Source organism: Homo sapiens, chromosome 2 (assembly GCF_000001405.40).
Source record: "Homo sapiens chromosome 2, GRCh38.p14 Primary Assembly".
Taxonomy (NCBI): domain Eukaryota; kingdom Metazoa; phylum Chordata; class Mammalia; order Primates; family Hominidae; genus Homo; species Homo sapiens.
This window is the reverse complement of record NC_000002.12, coordinates 201,157,874-201,177,226: the sequence shown is the minus strand read 5'-3', so window position 1 is coordinate 201,177,226 and position 19,353 is coordinate 201,157,874. Positions and strand designations below refer to the sequence as shown.

General features: G+C 43.7%; 1 protein-coding gene and 1 pseudogene across 32 annotated transcripts in view, besides 2 other annotated features; one reads left to right on the top strand and one right to left on the bottom strand.

Annotated features, from left to right (window-relative positions):
* The window catches only part of CFLAR (CASP8 and FADD like apoptosis regulator), a 60,524-nt gene continuing 41,710 nt past the window's right edge, over window positions 540-19,353 (bottom strand). For 6 of the 32 annotated variants that reach the window (NM_003879.7, NM_001202516.3, NM_001202517.3 and 3 more), the window contains 2 exons: window positions 16,285-16,795; window positions 540-13,392 (listed from right to left, as the gene is read on the bottom strand). In NM_003879.7, the coding sequence (NP_003870.4) occupies window positions 13,254-13,392; window positions 16,285-16,795 (650 nt within the window). In that variant the 3' untranslated portion in view covers window positions 540-13,253. Of the gene's footprint in view, window positions 14,232-14,669; window positions 14,735-16,284; window positions 16,796-19,353 lie in introns of those variants that run through there. The other 26 variants (NR_147250.2, NM_001351590.2, NM_001202519.3 and 23 more) reach the window with 12 other exon arrangements.
* On the top strand, window positions 14,471-14,793 carry RPL38P5 (RPL38 pseudogene 5; annotated as a pseudogene).
* Window positions 18,707-19,036: an enhancer, noted in NCBI's record as "active region_16980". NCBI's record gives its function as "activates an Ori minimal core promoter by ATAC-STARR-seq in GM12878 lymphoblastoid cells {active_cell/tissue: GM12878}" and the evidence as "EXISTENCE:reporter gene assay evidence [ECO:0000049][PMID:35858748]".
* Window positions 19,057-19,136: an enhancer, noted in NCBI's record as "active region_16979". NCBI's record gives its function as "activates an Ori minimal core promoter by ATAC-STARR-seq in GM12878 lymphoblastoid cells {active_cell/tissue: GM12878}" and the evidence as "EXISTENCE:reporter gene assay evidence [ECO:0000049][PMID:35858748]".

Sequence of the window (19,353 nt, the reverse complement as noted above, 5' to 3'; positions counted from 1 at the left end):
CAGCCTGGGCAACAAGAGTGAAACTCTGTCTCAAAAAAAAAAAAAAAAAGAAAAAGAAAAATTGAGTAATGTGTACAATATATATTTATATATATTTATAAATATATTTAAATTTAAAATATATTATATAAATATATTATAAAAATAATTTTATATAACAGATTGTATAGTATATAAATTTAAAATACATATTTTATATATCAATAAATTTAAAATGTTGTATATAAGAAACCACTATATATGTTTATATGGATTTTCTTGAGACAGGGTCTTGCTCTGTCACACAGGCTGGAGTGCAGTGGCAAGATCATAGTTCACTGCAGCCTCAACCTCCAGGGCTCAAGTGATCCTCCCACCTCAACCTCCAGAGTAGCCGGAACTAAAGGCATGTCCCACCATGCCCAGCAAATTTTTAAAAATGTTTTTGTAGAAACTGGCTCTCACTTCATTGCCCAGCCTGATCTCGAGCTCCTGGGCTCAAGCAATCCTCCCACGTCAACCTCCCAAAGTGCTGGGATTACAGGCATGAGCCACGGCACTTGGTCTGAGTAAAACAGTTTTAATGCTGCTCAAAAAAGGTAAGATAAACGCAGAAAGGCCTTTCACTTCAAGGTTAGTTTGTTGTTTCTAGGGCAAAAAACAGTGAGAAACTGCTAGTATTTGACATAATTTTTCAGAAGGAAGCATATGACTTAGCCACATCTATAAAAATTCACAATGAGGCAAGTGACAAGAAATGTCACCATATCAAAGTATACAAAGAAGGGGTTTGTTACAATGGGTACATTCAGGTCTGAGCAAGGCAGGAGAGGGCTCCCCCGACACACACCAAGAGTGTTGGGCAACCATCAGGTGATGGTCAGGCGGTTGTTAAATGTTTCTGTAAAGTAATAATTGGTCACAGGTGGTGCCAGGGACAGGCAGCTCCCCCGCCCGCCCCCCCCCCCCGCAATAGAAAACACCTGAGACTGATCATCAGCTTCTCAAAAAGATCTCAGGAGTGGGGAAAAGTAACACAAGATCCCGGAAGTATGCCAGCATATAAAACCCCAAGTCAAGAGGGCAAGCCCTGCACCTGGTTTCTCAGGTCACCTGCTTGGCCCTCTTCCAAGTTATACTTTCCTTCTTTTCTTTCCTTTCCTTACTGTTCTAAAGCTTAATAAACTTTCTTGGCTCACTGCAACCTCCGCCTCCCAGGTTCAACTGATTCGCCTGCCTCAGCCTCCCGAGTAGCTGGGATTAGAGGCATGGACCACCATGCCCAGCTGATTTTTCTATTTTTAGTAGAGACGAGGTTTCATCATCATGATGGCCAGGCTGGTCTCGAACTACTGACCTCAAGTAATCCACCTGCCTCAGCCTCCCAAAATGCTGGGATTACAGGCATGAGCCACTGTGCCCAGCCTAAAGCGTAATAAACTTTCACTGTTGCTCTGAAACTTGCCTCGGTCCCTCCTTCTGCCTTATGCCCCTCAGTCAAATTCTTTCTTCTGAGGAGGAAAGAATTGAGGTTGCTGCAGATTTACCACCAGTAACTTGGATACCGTCCACCAGTAACAACTTCCGTTAAGATGGCAATACACCTCAAATTTATTTTTATTTTGAGACAGGGTCTCACTCTGTTCCCCAGGCTGGAGTACAGTGGCACAATCTCAGCTCACTGAAACCTCCACCTCCCGGGCTCAAGTGATCCTCCCACCTCAGCCTTCCGAGTAGCTGGTACTACAGGCGCATGCTACCATACCCAGCTAATTTTTGTATTTTTAGTAGAGACAGGGTTTTGCCGTGTTGCCCAAGGTGGCCTCAAATTCCTTGGCTCAAGCGATCCACCATCCTCAGCCTCCCAAAGTCCTGGGATTACAGGCATGAGCCACTGCGCCCAGCCAAACTTATCTTTGTATGTTTGTTATAGGCAAAAGTACCCCAAGGTTAAGGCTCAGCCCAAGAGGTCAAGTGGGTTCAGGAAAGAATTCAAGAGCATGCTGACAGAATAAAGTGAAAGCAAGTTCATTAAGAAAGTAAAGGAATAAAAGAATGGCTACCCCATAGGAAGAGTAGCCCTGATGGGCTGCTGACTGGCTATATTTATGGTTGCTTCTTGACTATACGCTAAACAAGAGGTGGCTTATTCATGAGTTTTCCAGGAAAGAAGTGGGGAGGTCTGGACCTTTTAGACCATACAGGGTAACTTCTGAAAGTTGCTATGGCAGTTGTAAACTATCATGGTGCTGTAGAAGTTTCTTTTAGCGTGCTAATGTATTATAATTACCATAGAATGGGCAGCAAAGGTAACCAGAGGTCTCTTCTGTCACCATCATGGTTTTGGCTGGTTTGGGTTGGCCTTTCTACCACATCCTGTCTTATCAGCAGGGTCTTACAGGGTCTTGTGGTCTTGGGAAACCAGTCCTGCCAAACTCCTCTCATTCAGTGTAATCACTATCAAAATTCCAGAGGCCCTTTTTACATAAATTTGCAAGTGAATCCTAACAGTTATATGAAAATTTAGGGAAAGGTAAACCCAATACAGCCCTAACAATTTTGAAAAAGAACAGGCCAGTTGCAGTGGCTCACCCCTCAGCACTTTGGGAGGTGGAGGTGGGAGGATTGTTTGAGGCCAGGAGTTTGAGACCAGCCTGGGCAACATAGCAAGGCCTCATCTCTACAAAAGAAAAAAGAAGAACAACAACAACAACAAAGTTAGAGGACTACATTTCTGGATTCCAAAACTTACTACGAAGTTACAATAATCAAGACAGTGTGGTACTACCATAAGATAGAGCAACAGAATTGAGTCCAGAAATAAACCCTTATAGTTAGTTGATTTGTGATAAGTATAAAATAATTCTATAGGGAAAAAATAGTATTTTCAATAAGTAATGCTAAGACAAGTGAACATTTATGTGCAAAAGAATGAGGCTGGATGCTTATCTCGCACTGCATACACAAAAATAACTCAAAATGGGTCAAAGAGCTAAAATCATAAAACTTTAGAAGAAAACATAGGGGTAACACCTCATAGGCAATTGATTTAGACAATGGTTTTTTAGGTATGACACCAAAAGCATAAGCAATAACATAAAAAACAGAAATCAAGTGAACTTCATCAAAATTTAAAACTTGTACTGTATAGTATCCAGAAAGTGAGAAGACAATCCATGGAATGGGAGAATATATTCACAAAGATTGTACCTGATAAGAAACTAGTATCCAGAATATTAAAAAGAATGCTTACAACTCAACAATAAAAAGACAACCCACCGGGTGTGGTGGCTCACGCCTGTAATCCTAGCATTTTGGGAGGCCGAGGCAGGCAGATCACCTGAGTTCAGGAGTTCAAGACCAGCCTGGCCAACATGGCGAAACCCTGTCTCTACTAAAAATACAAAAATTAGCCAGGCGTGATGGTGGGTGCCTGTAATCCCAGTTACTAGGGAGGCCGAGGCAGGAGAGTCGCTTGAACTCAGGAGGTGGAGGTTGCAGTGAGCCGAGATTGCACCACTGCACTCCAACCTGGGCGACAGAGTGAGATTCCATCTCAGAAAAATAAAATAAAATAACGCAGTTTTAAAATGAGAAAGGACTTGAGGCCAGGCACAGTAGCTAATGTCTGTAATGCCAGCACTTTGGGAAGCCAAGGCAGTCAGATCACCTGAGGCCAGGAGTTCGAGACCAGCCTGGCCAACATGGTGAAACCCTGTCTTTACTAAAAATACAAAAATTGGCTGGGCGCGGTGGCTCACGCCTGTAATCCCAGCACTTTGGGAGGCCAAGGCAGGCGGATCACGAGGTCAGGAGATAGAGACCATCCTGGCTAACACGGTGAAACCCTGTCTCTACTAAAAATACAAAAAATTAGCCGGGCGTGGTGGAGGGCGGCTGTAGTCCCAGATACTTGGGAGGCTGAGGCAGGAGAATGGCATGAACCCAGGAGGCGGAGCTTGCAGTGAGCTGAGATTGCACCACTGCACTCCAGCCTGGGCCACAGAGCGAGACTCCGTCTCAAAAAACAATACAAAAATTAGTTGGGCATGGTGGCGAGCTCCTGTAAACCCAGCTACTCCCAACTACTAGGGAGGCTGAGGCAGGAGAATGGCTTGAACCCAGAAGGCAGAGGTTACAGTGAATCAAGATAACGCCACTGCACTCCACCCTGGGCGACAGAGTGAGACTCCGTCTCAAAAACAAAAAAATAAAAAAAACCTCATACACTGCTGGTGGGAATATAAAATGATGCTACTACTTTGAAAAGCAGTTTGGCAGTTCCTCAAAAGGCTAAACATAGAGTTACTATATGATGAGCACTCTCACTTCTAAGGTATATGCCCAGAAGAACTGAAAACATATATCCATATAAAAATTCATATACGAATATTCATAGCAGCATCATCCATAATAGCAAAAAAGTGGAAACAGTCTAAATTTCGATCAACTGATGAATAAACTAAATGCGGTATATCCACACAATAGGGTATTATTCAGCCATAAAATGTAATGAAGCACTGGTACACTCTATAGCATAGATGAACCTTGAAACATGCTAAGTGAAGGAAGTCAGACACGAAAGGCCACATGTTTATTTTTATAAAATATCTAGAACAGGCAAATCATAGAGACAGAAAATGGATTATTGTTTCTAGAGGCTGGGGGAAGAGGAGGATTAGAGTGGCAGCTCACTGGTATGGAGTTTCTAGGTAGATGGAAATGTTCTGGAATTAGATAGTGGTGATGATTGCACAACTCTGTAAATATACTAAAATCCACTGCATCATTTACTTTAAAGGGGCAAATTTTATGGCTTGTGAATTACATTTCAATAAAAAGAAGATGAGGAAACCTAGGATATGTCACAATCCCATGCCACAAACTACTTACACTTCCAATATAAAAACTATATCAACAATAGTTTACATCACGTTCATTGCTTGCTAAAGTAAGGTCATGAATGTATCAAAATATTTTATAAAAGTTAAAATTTAGGAGATCCATCATTTCTCTTTTCAATCCATCACTGATTCATTCAATATATATTTATGTGTATGCCAGGCTCTTCATCAGGTAAAGTGTTTAGGAGAGATATAAAGATAAAACTGATGAGAATTCTGCACTTGAGCTACAGCATACTTTCCAAGAATTACAGCATGAGATATAAAATGAAAAGAAGGCTTGGAGGAGATTCACACGAAATAGTACTGTTCAGGAGAGGGGGCGATAATTCCAATGGAAGAGATAACTGACTTCATGGAGGATAGAAGGAGATGGTATTTGAACTGCCCTTGAAGTATGGTTATATTTTGGGGATGTGGAGATGTGGGGTAGGGTGATATGCTGGGGTTCCAGATGGTCCAGAAATATACAATCACCAGAACCAAAGATCCAGAGGTAGGAGATATGAGCTGTTCAATTTGGCTGAGCTAACAGTGTTTGGAGTGGGATCTTGAAGAAGCTGAAAATGAAGATACCAACTAGACAGTCAGAGAAAGACTTCCAATGTTTGACTGAACTGCAATTTTATTGTGTATGCATTGAAGAATCTTTTTTTTTTTTTTTGTATTCTCTAAAGATTTTTAAAATATTTTAAGTTCTGGATACAAGTGCAGGATGTGCGGGTTTGTTACATAGGTAAACGTGTCCCATGGTGGTTTGCTGCACCTATCAACCTATCACCTAGGTATTAAGCCCCACATGCATTAGCTAGTTATCCTGATGCTCTCCCCGCTACGGCCCCTGCATCAGGCCCCAGTGTGTGTTGATCTCATCCCTGTGTCCGTGTGTTCTCATTGTTCAGCTTCCGCTTACAAGTGAGAACATGTGGTGTTTGGTTTCCTGCTCCTCTGTTAGTTTGCTGAGGATAATGGCTTCCAGCTTCATCCATGTCCCTGCAAAGGACATGATCTCATTCCTTTTTTAAAAAAAAAAACAAAATTATTTCCATAGGTGTTTGGGGAACAGGTGGTATCTGGTTACATGCGTAAGTAATTAAGTGGTTACTTGTGAGATTCTGGTGCACCCATCACCTGAGCAGTATACACTGAACCCAATTTGTATTCTTTTATCCTTCACCCCCCTCCCACCCTTTCCCCTAAGTCCCCAAAGTCCATTGTATCCTTCTTATGCCTTTGCATCCTCATAGCTTATCTCCCACTTATGAGTGAGAACATACAATGTTTGGTTTTCCATTCCTCAGTTACTTCCTTTAGAGTAATAGTCTCCAGGTTGCTGTGAATGTCATTAATTCATTCCTTTTTATGGCTGAGTAGTGTTTAGGTGAGGTTATTTGTAAGTAATTAATATTGAGTAAATAAGATTCATCCATAGTGGCAAAGCCACATAACTTCTAAGTATCTTAAACTATATCTAAATGGTACCAAAACATGCAGTCAATTCTAAAAGCTCAGCTAATGATATTTCATAATATAGGAAAATATTCACAACATATTTTTGTGTAAAAAAAAGCAGACTTCAAAATGGAATATGCATTATGATTCCAATCATGTAAAAGCTATACATGAACACATACAAAGATTAACAGATATAAACAAATGGAAGAATGAATGGAGAGATAGATGATAGACAGATTGAGTGGTGGTGGAGAATAACAGATTTAAAAAGAAATTGTGCCTTTCTATATTTTCAAAACCATTTAAATAAGTATTACCTTTGGAGTTAGAAAATGATATGTATTTTAAATCCATAATTCAACTACTTATCTATATGATGTCAAACTGGATTAGGCTGAATTATCAGCAAGTGAATAAAACAGTTCCTTCATCCATGGAGAAACATCCATTTATGACATTCTTGGAATTCCTCTTGTTAGAATTCTTTATGAATTTAAAATAGAAACATGGCCAGACTCAAGATTTCAATACAAACATTACTTTTTCACGTTCAGTAATAACCAATTAAAAGAATTAATGAAAAATCTGATTCACTGTATCACCAAAAGCTGTAATGGCTGCACTGCACAGTATTCCATGGTGTATATGTACCACATTTTCTTTATCCAGTCTATCTTTGATGGGCATTTGCTATTGTGTCTTTGCTATTGTGAAGAGTGCTGCAATGAACAAAAATGTGCATGTATCTTTATAATAAAATGGTTTATATTCCTTTGGGTATATACCCAGTAATGGGATTGCTGGGACAAATAGTATTTCTAGTTCTAGATCTTTGAGGAATAGCCACACACACTTCCACAACGGTTGAACTAATTTACATTCCCACCAACAATGTAAAAGTGTTCCTACTTCTCCACAGCCTCGCCAGCATCTGTTGTTTTTTGACTTTTTAATAATCACCATTCTGACCGGCATGAGATGGTATCTCATTGTGGTTCTCCTTTGCATTTCTCTAATGATCAGTAAGGTTGAGCTTTTTTTTATATGTTTGTTGGCCACATAAATGTCTTCTTTTGAGAAGTGTCTGTTCATGTCCTTTGTCCACTTTTTGATGGGGTTGTTTTTTTCCTTGTAAATTTGTTTTAAGTTCCTTGTAGGTTCTGGATATTAGACCTTTGTCAGATGGATAGATTGCAAAAATGTTCTCCCATTCTGTAGGTTGCCTGTTCACTCTAATGATAGTTTCTTTTGCTGTGCAGGAGCTCTTTAGTTTAATTAGATCCCATTTGTAATTTTTGCTTTTGTTGCAATTGCTTTTGATGTTTTTGTCATGAAACCTTTGCTTGTGCCTATGTCTTGAATGGTATTAAATAGATTTTCTTCTAGGGTTTTTATAGTTTTAGGTTTTACATTAAGTCTTTAATCTTGAGTTAATTTTTGTATAAGGTGTAAGGAAGGGGTCAGTTTCAATTTTCTGCATATGGCTAGCCAGTTTTCCCAGCACCATTTATTAAATAGGGAATCTTTTCCCCATTGCTTGTTTTTGTCAGGTTTGTCGATGATCAGATGGCTGTAGATGTGTGGTCTTCTTTCTCTGGTCTCTATTCTGTTCCATTGGTCTATGTGTCTGTTTTTGTACCAGTACCATGCCATTTTGGCTACTGTAGCCTTGCAGTATACTTTGAAGTTGGGTAGTGTGATGCTTCCAGCTTTGTTCTTTTTGCTTATTGTTGTCTTGGTTATACGGGCTCTTTTTTGGTTCCATTTGAATTTTAAAGTAGTTTTTTTCTAATTCTGTGAAGAATGTCAATAGTAGTTTAATGGGAATAGCAATGAACCTATAAATTACTTTGGGTAGTATGGCCATTTTCATGATATTGATTCTTCCTATCCACGAGAATGGAATGTTTTTTCATTTGTGTCCTCTCTTATTTCCTTGAGCAGTGGTTTGTAGTTCTCCTTGAAGAGATCCTTCACATCTTATTAGCTGTATTCCTAGGTATTTTATTCTCTTTCTAGCAACTGTGAATGGGAGTTCATTCATGATTTGGCTCTCTGCTTGTGTATTGTTGGTGTATAGAATGCTTGTGATTTCTGCACATTGATTTTGTATCCTGAGACTTTGCTGAAGTTGCTTATCAGCTTAAGGAACTTTTGGGTGGAGATAATGGGGTTTTCTAGATATAGTATCATGTCATCTGCAAACACAGTTTTACTTCCTCTTTTCCTATTTGAATACCCCTTATTTGTTTCTCTTGCCTGATTTTCTTGGCCAGAACTTCCAATACTATGTTAAATAGGAGTGGTGAGACGGCATCCCTGTCTTGTGCCAGTTTTCAAGGGGAATGCTTCCAGCTTTTGCCCATTCAGTATGATAATGGCTGTGGGTTTGTCATAAATGGTTATTATTTTGAGATATTTTCCATCAATACCTAGTTTATTGAGAGTTTTTAACATGAAGCAACGTTGAATTTTATTGAAGGCCTTTTCTGTATCTATTGAGATAATCATGTGGTTTTTGTCTTTAGTTCTGTTTATGTGATGAATTATGTTTCTTGATTTGCGTATGTTGAACCAGCCTTGCATCCCAGGGATGAAGCCAACATTCCAAACATTTTATTTATTATTTATTTATTTATTTATTTTTGAGACAGAGTCTCGCACTGTCGCCCAGGCTGGAGTGCAGTGGCAAGATCTCAGCTCGCTGCAAGCTCCACCTCCCAGGTTCATGCCGTTCTCTTGCCTCGGCCTCCCAAATAGCAGGGACTACAGGCGACCGCCACAACGCCTGGCTAATTTTTTGTATTTTTAGTAGAGACGGGGTTTTACATGTTAGCCAGGATGGTCTTGATCTCCTGACCTCGTGATCCGCCCGCCTTGGCCTCCCAAAGGGCTGGGATTATAGGCGTGAGCCACCGCACCCGGCCTCCAAACATTTTAATCTCATAACAATGCATCACTTGGGTTAACTAGGTTGAGATAAATATAAACTGTCAATTTTTTTTCCCCTCACATAAAAGTCCAGAGGTAGGTAATTAGGGCTGACACAGTGATTCCAGTGATTCTGCTCCTTCGTGCCCTCATCCAACAAGGCTTCTTGCTGCTCACTACCCAGCTACCCCTACGTGTGGCCCGTATCTTCATGGTTCAAGATGGCAGCTAGAGCTGCTAGGTAGTTAAGATCTCTCTCACACACTTTCCTTCTGTCATAATTAACACAGGGTTTTAGCTCATGAGGCCAAGCATACACATTACTTCCCACTGGCACCCCTATGTAATATTAAATGCAAAGATACCCTCAGGAGTCCTGTGCTCAAAACAAGTACAAAATAACTTTTTGTTGTTGTTTGTGGTGCTGGTGGTTTTATTTATTTATTTTTTCTGAAACAGGGTCTCACTCTGTCTCCCATGCTGAAGTGCAGTGGTGTGATCACAGCTCATCACAACCTTGACCTCTCTGGGCTCAGGGGATCCACTCACTTCAGCCTCCCAAGTAGCTGGGACTACAGGAACACGCCACCACGCTCAGCTAAATTTTGTCTTTTTTTGTAGAGATGGAGTCTTGCTATGTTGCCCAGGCTGGTCTCAAACTCCTGGGCTCAAGTGATCAGTCCACCTCAGCCTCCCAAAGTACTCAGATTATAGGTATGAGCCACCATGGCATCAAAATAACTTGGAAAGTAGGAATAATTGCTTGTTGTTCCTGAAAACTGTCTCTTCGACACTTTTCAGACTCTGTTACATGATCATGACAAAATATACACAAATAGACATACAGATACACATCAGTTAAAACCTCAAGAAATAGAAAAATAAATAAATCATAAAATATTTAAAAAGTGGTATTCTGACACACTGCCCAGAGGTACCCCTGTTCAGCAATTTTAAAAAATTTTAAAAATAGCCCTCTCCCCCTCCCTCTCTTCTCCCTCTCCCCACGGTCTCCCTCTGATGCCGAGCCGAAGCTGGACTGTACTGCTGCCATCTCGGCTCACTGCAGCCTCCCTGCCTGATTCTCCCGCCTCGGCCTGCCGCGTGCCTGCCATTGCGGGCGCCGCCACGCCTGACTGGTTTTCGTATTTTTTTGGTGGAGACAGGGTTTCACTGTGTTGGCCGGGCTGGTCTCCAGCTCCTGACTGCGAGTGATCTGCCAGCCTCGGCCTCCCGAGGTGCCGGGATTGCGGGCAGAGTCTCGTCCACTCAGTGCTCAATGTTGCCCAGGCTGGAGTGCAGTGGTGTGATCTCAGCTGGCTACGGCCTCCGCCTCCCAGCCGCCTGCCTTGGCCCCCCAGGGTGCCGAGATTACAGCTTCTGCCCGGCCGCCACCCCGTCTGGGATGAAGTGAGGAGCGTCTCTGCCCGGCCGCCCATCGTCTGAGATGTGGGGAGCGCCTCTGCCCCGCCCCCCCGTCTGGGATGTGAGGAGCTTCTCTGCCCGGCCACCCCGTCTGAGAAGTGAGGAGCCCCTCCGCCCGCAGCTGCCCCGTCTGAGAAGTGAGGAGCCCCTCCGCCCGACAGCCACCCTGTCTGGGAAGTGAGGAGCGTCTCCGCCCAGCAGCCACCCCGTCTGAGAAGTGAGGAGCCCCTCCGCCTGGCAGCCGCCCCGTCCGGGAGGGAGGCGTGGGGGTCAGCCCCCGCCCGGCCAGCCGCCCCGTCGGGGAGGGAGGTGGGGGGTCAGCCCCCGCCCGGCCAGCTATCCCGTCCGGGAGGGAGGTGGGGGGCGCGTCCGCCTGGCCGCCCCATCTGGGAAGTGAGGAGCCCCTCTGCCCAGCCGCCACCCCGTCTGGGAGGTGTACCCAACAGCTCATTGAGAACAGGCCATGATGACGATGGCGGTTTTGTGGAATAGAAAAGGGGGAAAGGTGGGGAAAAGATAGAGAAATCAGATTGTTGCTGTGTCTGTGTAGAAAGAAGTAGACATGGGAGACTTCATTTTGTTCTGTACTAAGAAAAATTCTTCTGCCTTAGGATGCTGTTGATCTATGACCTTACCCCCAACCCTGTGCTCTCTGAAACATGTGCTGTGTCCACTCAGGGTTAAATGGATTAAGGGCAGTGCAAGATGTGCTTTGTTAAACAGATGCTTGAAGGCAGCATGCTCCTTAAGAGTCATCACCACTCCCTAATCTCAAGTACCCAGGGACACAAACACTGCGGAAGGCCGCAGGGTCCTCTGCCTAGGAAAACCAGAGACCTTTGTTCACTTGTTTATCTGCTGACCTTCCCTCCACTATTGTCCTGTGACCCTGCCAAATCACCCTCTGTGAGAAACACCCAAGAATGATCAATTAAAAAAAAAAAATTTAAAAATAATAATAGGCCAGGTGCAGTGGCTCACACCTGTAATCCCAGCACTTTGGGAGGCCGAGGCTGGTGAATCACCTGAGGTCAGGAGTTCAAGACCACGCTGGCCAACATGGTGGAAACCCTGTCTCCACTAAAAATACAAAAATTAGCCGGGTGTGGTGGCAGGAGCCTGTAATCCCAGCTACTCGGGAGGCTGAGGCAGGAGAATCGCTTGAACCCAGAAGGCAGAGGTTGCAATGAGCCAAGATGATGCCACTGCACTCCAGCCTGGGCAGCAGAATGAAACTCTGTCTCAATAATAATAATAATAATAATAATAATAATAATAATAATAATAATAAGCAACTCTAATGATATTTCAAACAATGGTCCCCTTTTAGGTCACACTATCAAATCAGAGAAAGATATACTTGACTAGCTGTAAAATGCAATTTGAGGTCTAGGTGAATGAACAAGTAACCTCTAAATCATAAGGCTATTGTTACAAACTGAATGTTTGTATTCCCCCCAGAATTCAAAGGGGAGACAGTATCCCCAAAGTGACAGTATCAGAAGGTGGGGCCTTTGGGAGGTAATTAGGTGATGAGGGTAGAGCCCTCATGAATGGAATTTGTGCCCTTAAAGATATACTTGAGAGTTTGCATCCTCTTTTTCTGCCATGTGAGAACATCAAAAGACTGACATCTGGTAAGATCTGGAAGCATGCCTTACCAGACACCAGATATGCTACCACTTAGATGTTGGATTTCCCAGCCTCCGGAACTGTGAGAAATAACTGCTGTTTAAGTCACCTGGTCTATGGTAATTTGGTATAGTTGCCCAAATGGACTGTGATGGTTAATACTGAGTATCAACTTGATTGAATAGAAGGATGCAAAGTGTTCCCGGGTACATCTGTGAGGGTGCTGCCAAAGGAGATTTAACATTTGAGTCAGTGGACTGGGAAAGGCAGACCATCCTCAATCTGGGTGGGCACCATCTAATCAGCTGCCAGCACTGCCAGAATAAAAGCAGGCAAAACATGGAAAGACTAGACTGGTGTAGTCTTCTGGCCTCCATCTTTCTCTCATGCTGAATGCTTCCTGCCCTCAAACATTGGACTCCAAGTTCTTCAGCTTTGGGACTTGAATTGGCTTCCTTGCTTGCAGATGACCTATTGTGGGACCTAACCCTGTGATCATGTGAGTCAATACTCCTTAATAAACTCCCCTTTTTATATACATGTATCCTATTAGTTCTGTCCCTCTAGAGAAACATGACTAATACATTGAGTAAGATAGTTCCTGTCCTTTTTTTTTTTTTTTAAAGAGATGGGATCTTGCTATATTGCCCAGGTTGGTATGCAGTGGCTATTCGTAGGCACAATCACAGCATGCTATGACCCTGAACTCCTGGGTTCAAAAGATCCTCCCACCTCAGCCTCCCAAGTAACTGGGAATACAGGTACCCACACCCACACCCAGCTAATTTTTGTATTTTTACTAGGGACAGCGTTTACCATGTTGGCCAGGCTGGTCTCGAACTCCTGACCTGAAGTGATCTGCCCTCCTTGGCCTCCCAAAGTGCTGGGATTACAGGTGTGAGCCACTACGCCCAGCCTTTTGGTTTCTTATGTGTAGGAGAGGATAAGTTTCTTTCTCAGAGTGTGCTGCAGCCAGACATAATATTTCTCCTTGGCAGAAACTCTGCTGTTCCAATCATACATGTAGCCATTGAGTTCAATGTGAAGATCCAGGAGTGGGCGTTTTCTGGAGAAAACAAGAAAGGCAAAATTTAATGCCATGCAAATATCAAAGAGAAGACTGTCATTAGGGCGAAATGAGCCAACAGATGTGAAAGTTCTTTGAAACTGTTCCTTTCTGAAGGCACCACAAGCTGCTTAGCAAATGATCCAAACTAACTTGCAATACTCTGGCCTGATGGCCACCATCCCCTCCCTCAAGGGGCTGCTGAGTTTCACTCTGGGAACATACCAGCCAGATGATAACCCACGTGGATCATCTATGCAAATGGGGATGGGCTCAAAAGGCCAGTAATACCACCGGCCCATGGAGTATCTATCTTGGAAGGCTGAGTGGCTCCTGCTCTAACCCCCGCTTCCTGCTGGGCCACCACTAAGGAGGCCAGGTAAAGAAGGCCATGAGATTTATTCCTGGGGTACGCAGAGGTACAGCCCAGAATGCATTTGACAGGTGGCTCAGAAACATCATTCTAAATTGTAATTAGAGTGCAACTGAAAAAGGCCAGTTAATCTTATACTTGAGGTACATTGTGGCTTCATTCAGCTTAAATGGAAACCAGCTCACTGATGTTTCTCTTAGAAAAGTATTCTTGCCAATAAACATTAAAAAAATGTTTATATAACAAAGCCTTCCAGATCTGAACAGTCAGATACCACTTTTCACCTATCAAATTGTCAAAACTTGAGGAAATATAAGAGCATGCAGTGTCAGGGAGAATTCAGGGACACAGCTACTCTCCTATAAAGCTGATATGACCATCCTATAGGACATCTAGTAAGATGCATCCGAGGCTTGAAAAATGCATGTCCTTTGACTCTGTAATTCCACTTCCGGGAATTGTCCCCCTAGAAAACAATTAAGGATAAGAACAAATACTAAGTTACAAGGATGTTTAATACTTACTTCGTATGAAAGCAAACACTGTGCAACAACTGAAGATTGATCAAGTAAATTAAGCTATGGCCATATTATGGGCTATTGTGCATACATTAAACTGATGCTGTAGAAATGTGACTACTGACATGCAAAAATGTTTGTGATCTACTGTTAAACAAACTAAAAGCAGGTTATAAAGTGATGGCAGGCTGTGAGTGTCTTTTGGGTGATACATGGGATAGAGGGGTGCCTGTCCTTGTCCTCTCCCTGTGTGCCTCATCGCCATGCCTTGCAAAATTGAGGAAATCAAGGACTTTCTGCTCACAGCCAGGTGAAAGGATGCCAAATCTGTCAAGATCAAGAAAAATAAGGATAATGTGAACTTTCAAGTTCAATGCAGCAGATACCTTCAGAGAAAGAGAAGGCAGAGAAACTGAAGCAGTCCTTGTCCCCTGCTTTGGCAGTAAAGGAGCTGAAATGAGCCAGACATGGGGATTTGAACTGTATTAAAATTTTTTTAATTAAAAAAAAGAAACAATAGATGATGATTCCATCTGGGCTTACAAACATACTTCCAGGCTGGGCGCAGTGGCTCACTTTTGGGAGGCCAAGGCAGGAGGATCACTTGAGGTCAGGAGTTCGGGACCAGCCTGGCCAACATGGTGAAACCCCATCTCTACTAAAAATACAAAAATTAGCAAAGCCGTAGTGGTGTGCGCCTGTAGTCCCAGCTACTCAGGAGACTGAGGCAGGAGAATTGCCTGAACCCGGGAGGTGGATGTTGCAGTAAGCCGAGGTGTGCCACTGCACTCCAGCCTGGACAACAGAGTGAGATGTCATCTCAAAAAACAAACAAACAAAAAAGATATACTTCTACATGACTGTGTGGGTATCAAATAAAAAAAGATCTGGAAGGTGGCTGAGCATGGTGGCTCATGCCTGTAATCCCAGCACTTTGGCAGGCCGAGGTACGTGGATCACTTGAGGCCAGGAGTTGCAGACCAGCCTGGCCAACATGGTGGAAACCCTGTCTCCACTAAAAATACAAAAATTAGCCAGGTGTGATGGCGGACGCCTGTAATCCCAGCTACTCGGGAAGCTGAGGCAGGAGAATCACTGGAACCCAGCAGGCGGAGGTTGCAGCGAGCCAAGATCATGCCACTGTACTCCAGCCTGGGCAACAAGAGTGAAACTCTGTCTCAAAAAAAAAAAAAAAAAAAAAAAAAGAAAAATTAAAAATAAAAATTTGTGGCCAGGCGCAGTGGCTCACGCTTGTAATCCTAGCACTTTGGGAGGCTGAGGCAGGCAGATCACCTGAGGTCAGGAGTTCAAGACTGGCCTGGTCAACATGGTGAAACCCAGTCTCTACTAAAAATACAAAAATTAGCCAGGGCGTGGTGGCACATGCCTGTAATCCCAGCTACTTGGGAGGGTGAGGCAGGACAACTGCTTGAACCTGGGAGGTGGAGGTTGCAGTGAGCCAAGATTGCGCCAATGCACTCCAGCCTGGGCAACAGAGCAAGACTCCATCTCAAAAAAAAAAATAAATAAAAATAAATAAATTTGTTATTTGTATTTATTTATTTGTTTATTGGAGACAAGGTCTCCCTCTGTTGCTCAGGCTGCAGTGCAGTAGTGCAATCACGACTCACTGCAGCCTCAAACTCCTGGGCTCAAGCAATCCTCCTACCTTAGCCTCCCAAGCAGTTGGGACTATAAGCGCACACCACCACACCCAACTAATTTTAAAAATGTTTATAGAGCAAGTTCTCACTTTGTTGCCCAGGCTGAAAATTTCTTAATTTTAAAGAAAAGTATTCAAACTACAAACTAACTAACTACAAAGTATTTATAAATCATGCCGGGTCTATACTGTAGTCCTAGGGCAAGCCCAATGCAGGAGGGAAAATCTCTTTTCCTCCCGGAAGAGATGGGCAGCAAATGTGGCACAGTGGTAATTCCCATCCTGGTGGCACGAAAATAAGCAGGTGGTCCGGAACTGACCACCTCCTGGGGGCTCACCTTTCTTGTCTCAGTTTCTGGGAGAGGCACTGCAGGTACAGGGATGGTGAGCTGTGAGACTGCTCCAGCAGGGACATGTCCGCAGTACACAGGCTCCAGAAGAAGTCAGCTTCTCGGTGAACTGTGCACAGCCCTCGCTTCTGAGCCTTGAATTCCACATTCTTCATCGCTGGCCCATCCACCTCCAAGAGGCTGCTGTCCTCCAGCTGGCCCTCTGACACCACATAGTTCTGAATAAAAAACATCTTTGGCTTCCCTGCTAGATAAGGGCATGAATCTCCCATGAACATCCTCCTGATGTGATGCAGGGGGAGCCCTGAGTGAGTCTGATCCACACCATACACACTCTGGGAGCCTCCTCGGCTCACCAGGACACACACAAAGCTGTCGTAGTCTCGGTGCTCGGGCATACAGGCAAATTGGCCAAGAATCTGGGATATACCATGCATACTGAGATGCAAGAATTTCTGGACTTCATAGCCCAGGGAAGTGAAGGTGTCTCGAAGAAGCTCTGGGGAAAACAAAAAACAAACACGGAAAACAACACTGGAGTGAGGAGAGCTCAAGAGGACTGGGTAGGAATCCTAGACATGGTCTAATCTCCATTATGAAAAGCTTCTGCTTTTGTGTCATATTTTGATGTGCCTGAGTCCTGGGCAGTTGGAACAAGAACCACATGAATCATGAAAGATGTGATTTTAGGTCCCTAAATATGGTCTATACCCTGCTATACCACTGTTCCTGCCTGATGCCAGCCACAGGCACAGACTGAGCCCACTCTAGTCCAATCAAACCAAGGGGGGACAAAACCTTTTTTTCTTCAACAATCTTCTTATTGAAGTCCAGACCTCACAATCTTTCTCTCTTCTGAGTGGCTCACTCTGGGAGAAGCCCACCACCACATCATGAAAGTACTCAAGCAGTCCCTCAGAGAGGCCCACATGAAGAACAGGCTTCCTGCCAACAGCTAGCACCAACTTCTCAGTCATGTGAGTGACCACCATAGAAGTGGAGCCTCCAATCCCAATCAAGCATTCAGATGACCCAGCTGACAACTGACCACAACTTCACTAGACTCTGGGCCAGAACAGCCCAGCTAAGCTGCTCCTAAATTCCTCACCCACAGGTGAGGATATAATTAAATTAGTAACTGTGAAGATATAATTAAATTAGTACTGTTGTTTTTAGCCACTAAATTTTGGAGTGATTTGTATACATTTTTAGGTAAATAATTCACCAGGTAAGTCCTTTGACCTTTCCTATCGGTAAAAGGAAAAGGCTTCTTACTTTTCTCCTTTGCTTGGCCCACAACTAAGGATTAAACAATGAATTATTGGCTGGGCGCAGTGGCTCACCTGTAATCCCAGCACTTTGGGAGGCTGAGGCGGGCAGATTACCTGAGGTCAGGAGTTCAAGACCAGCCTAGCCAACATGGCGAAACCCTGTCTCTACTAAAAATACAAAAATTAGTCAGGTGTAGTGGCACGCACCTGTAGTCCCAGCTACTCAGGAGGCTGAGGCAGGAGAATCGCTTGAACCCAGGAGGTGGAGGTTGCAGTGAGCCAACATTGTGACACTGCACTCCAGCCTGGGCAACAGAGTGAGACTCTGTCTCAAAAAAAAAAATTAATTATTATATCATGTAAGAATGAAGAGCTACAAAGGAGGTGCTGATATTCCTAAGTCTATAATCAATAAGCATCATTAACAAGGAAATAGGAGACATGATTCACAGGTTGCAAATAACCCATTAAATAGTGAGGGCAACCAGCCCCAGTGGCTCACATCTGTAATCCTAGCACTTTGGGAGGCCGAGACGGGCAGATCACCTGAGGTCAGGAGTTCGAGACCAGTCTGGCCAATATGGTGAAACCCCGTCTCTACTAAAAATACAAAAATTAGCCAGGCGTGGTGGTGCTCACCTGTAATCCCAGCTACTAGGGAGGCTGAGACAGGAGAATTGCTTGAACCCGGGAGGCAGAGGTTGCAGTGAGCCAAGATTGCGCCACTGCACTCCAGCCTGGGCAACAGAGCAGAACTCCGTCTCAAATTCAAATAATAATAATAATAATAATAATAATAATAATAATGATGAGGGCAAATGCCGTTACAGGATCTCTGGGTAGCTGTTATCAGGACTGTAATTTTGCACAGCCTTTTTGAAGAGCAATTTGGGAGTATCATTAAATTTTAAATGTGTATACCCTTTATAAAAAAAAGAAAACTCTGTGTGGTAGAAGAGGCCTGGACGCACTGTCCCCTAGCCATCTCCTCTGAGGGTGCAGGCTTGTTTCGATACCCAGTGCTGAATCCAGGCTGAACAAGGAGAGAACCTGGACTAGGACTCCAGTTCCATCACTGCTATTCTATTCCAAAGGACTCACACGTCTCTAATCATGGAGTATTTGCTCCTCCAGGGGGCAGAAGCAAACAGGGAAACACCAGACTCAAAGCTCTTTTGTGTACTTATCTCAAGATTGGTTCACTTCCCTCAAAACCTCTCTTCACTGATAAATGTCCTTCCTTATCAAACAAAGTCCTTGAAAGAAAACTTCACCACATTCTCCCTGCCCATGCTGATATGTAAGGCTTGGACAGAACAAATGCTGTACTGTGCCTTCCAGCTCTTTCCTTTATTTGTGCTCCCTGGAGGTTCTGGCTGGGGAAGCCCCTGTCACATGACTGTGAGCAGACAGCTGTGTGGTGCAGGGCAAAAGAGGAACCAGCCTTGGAATCACAAGATGTGGGTTTAAGTCCTAGTTCCTCCATCTCCTCCTACTAGGGTCTGAATCTTGCATGGTCTTGGAAGAGACTGAGCTATAACAGCAGAGAAGCTAGGAAGGAAATGGGAATCTGAGGTCTGGGGCAGAAAATCCTTACCTAAAAGAACAGAAGAAAAATGGCTAAAGCTGGAGGTGAAGCCAAAAACCATGCAGGTCCCAAGTGCCAATAAGAATAGCAGGTCTGAGCCTCAGACAAGACACAGCATTGCTTAAATATCCTGTGGCAAGGGAGTCACTCCACAGGCCCAGCCTGAAGACATTACCGCTGACATTTCCCATTAACGTC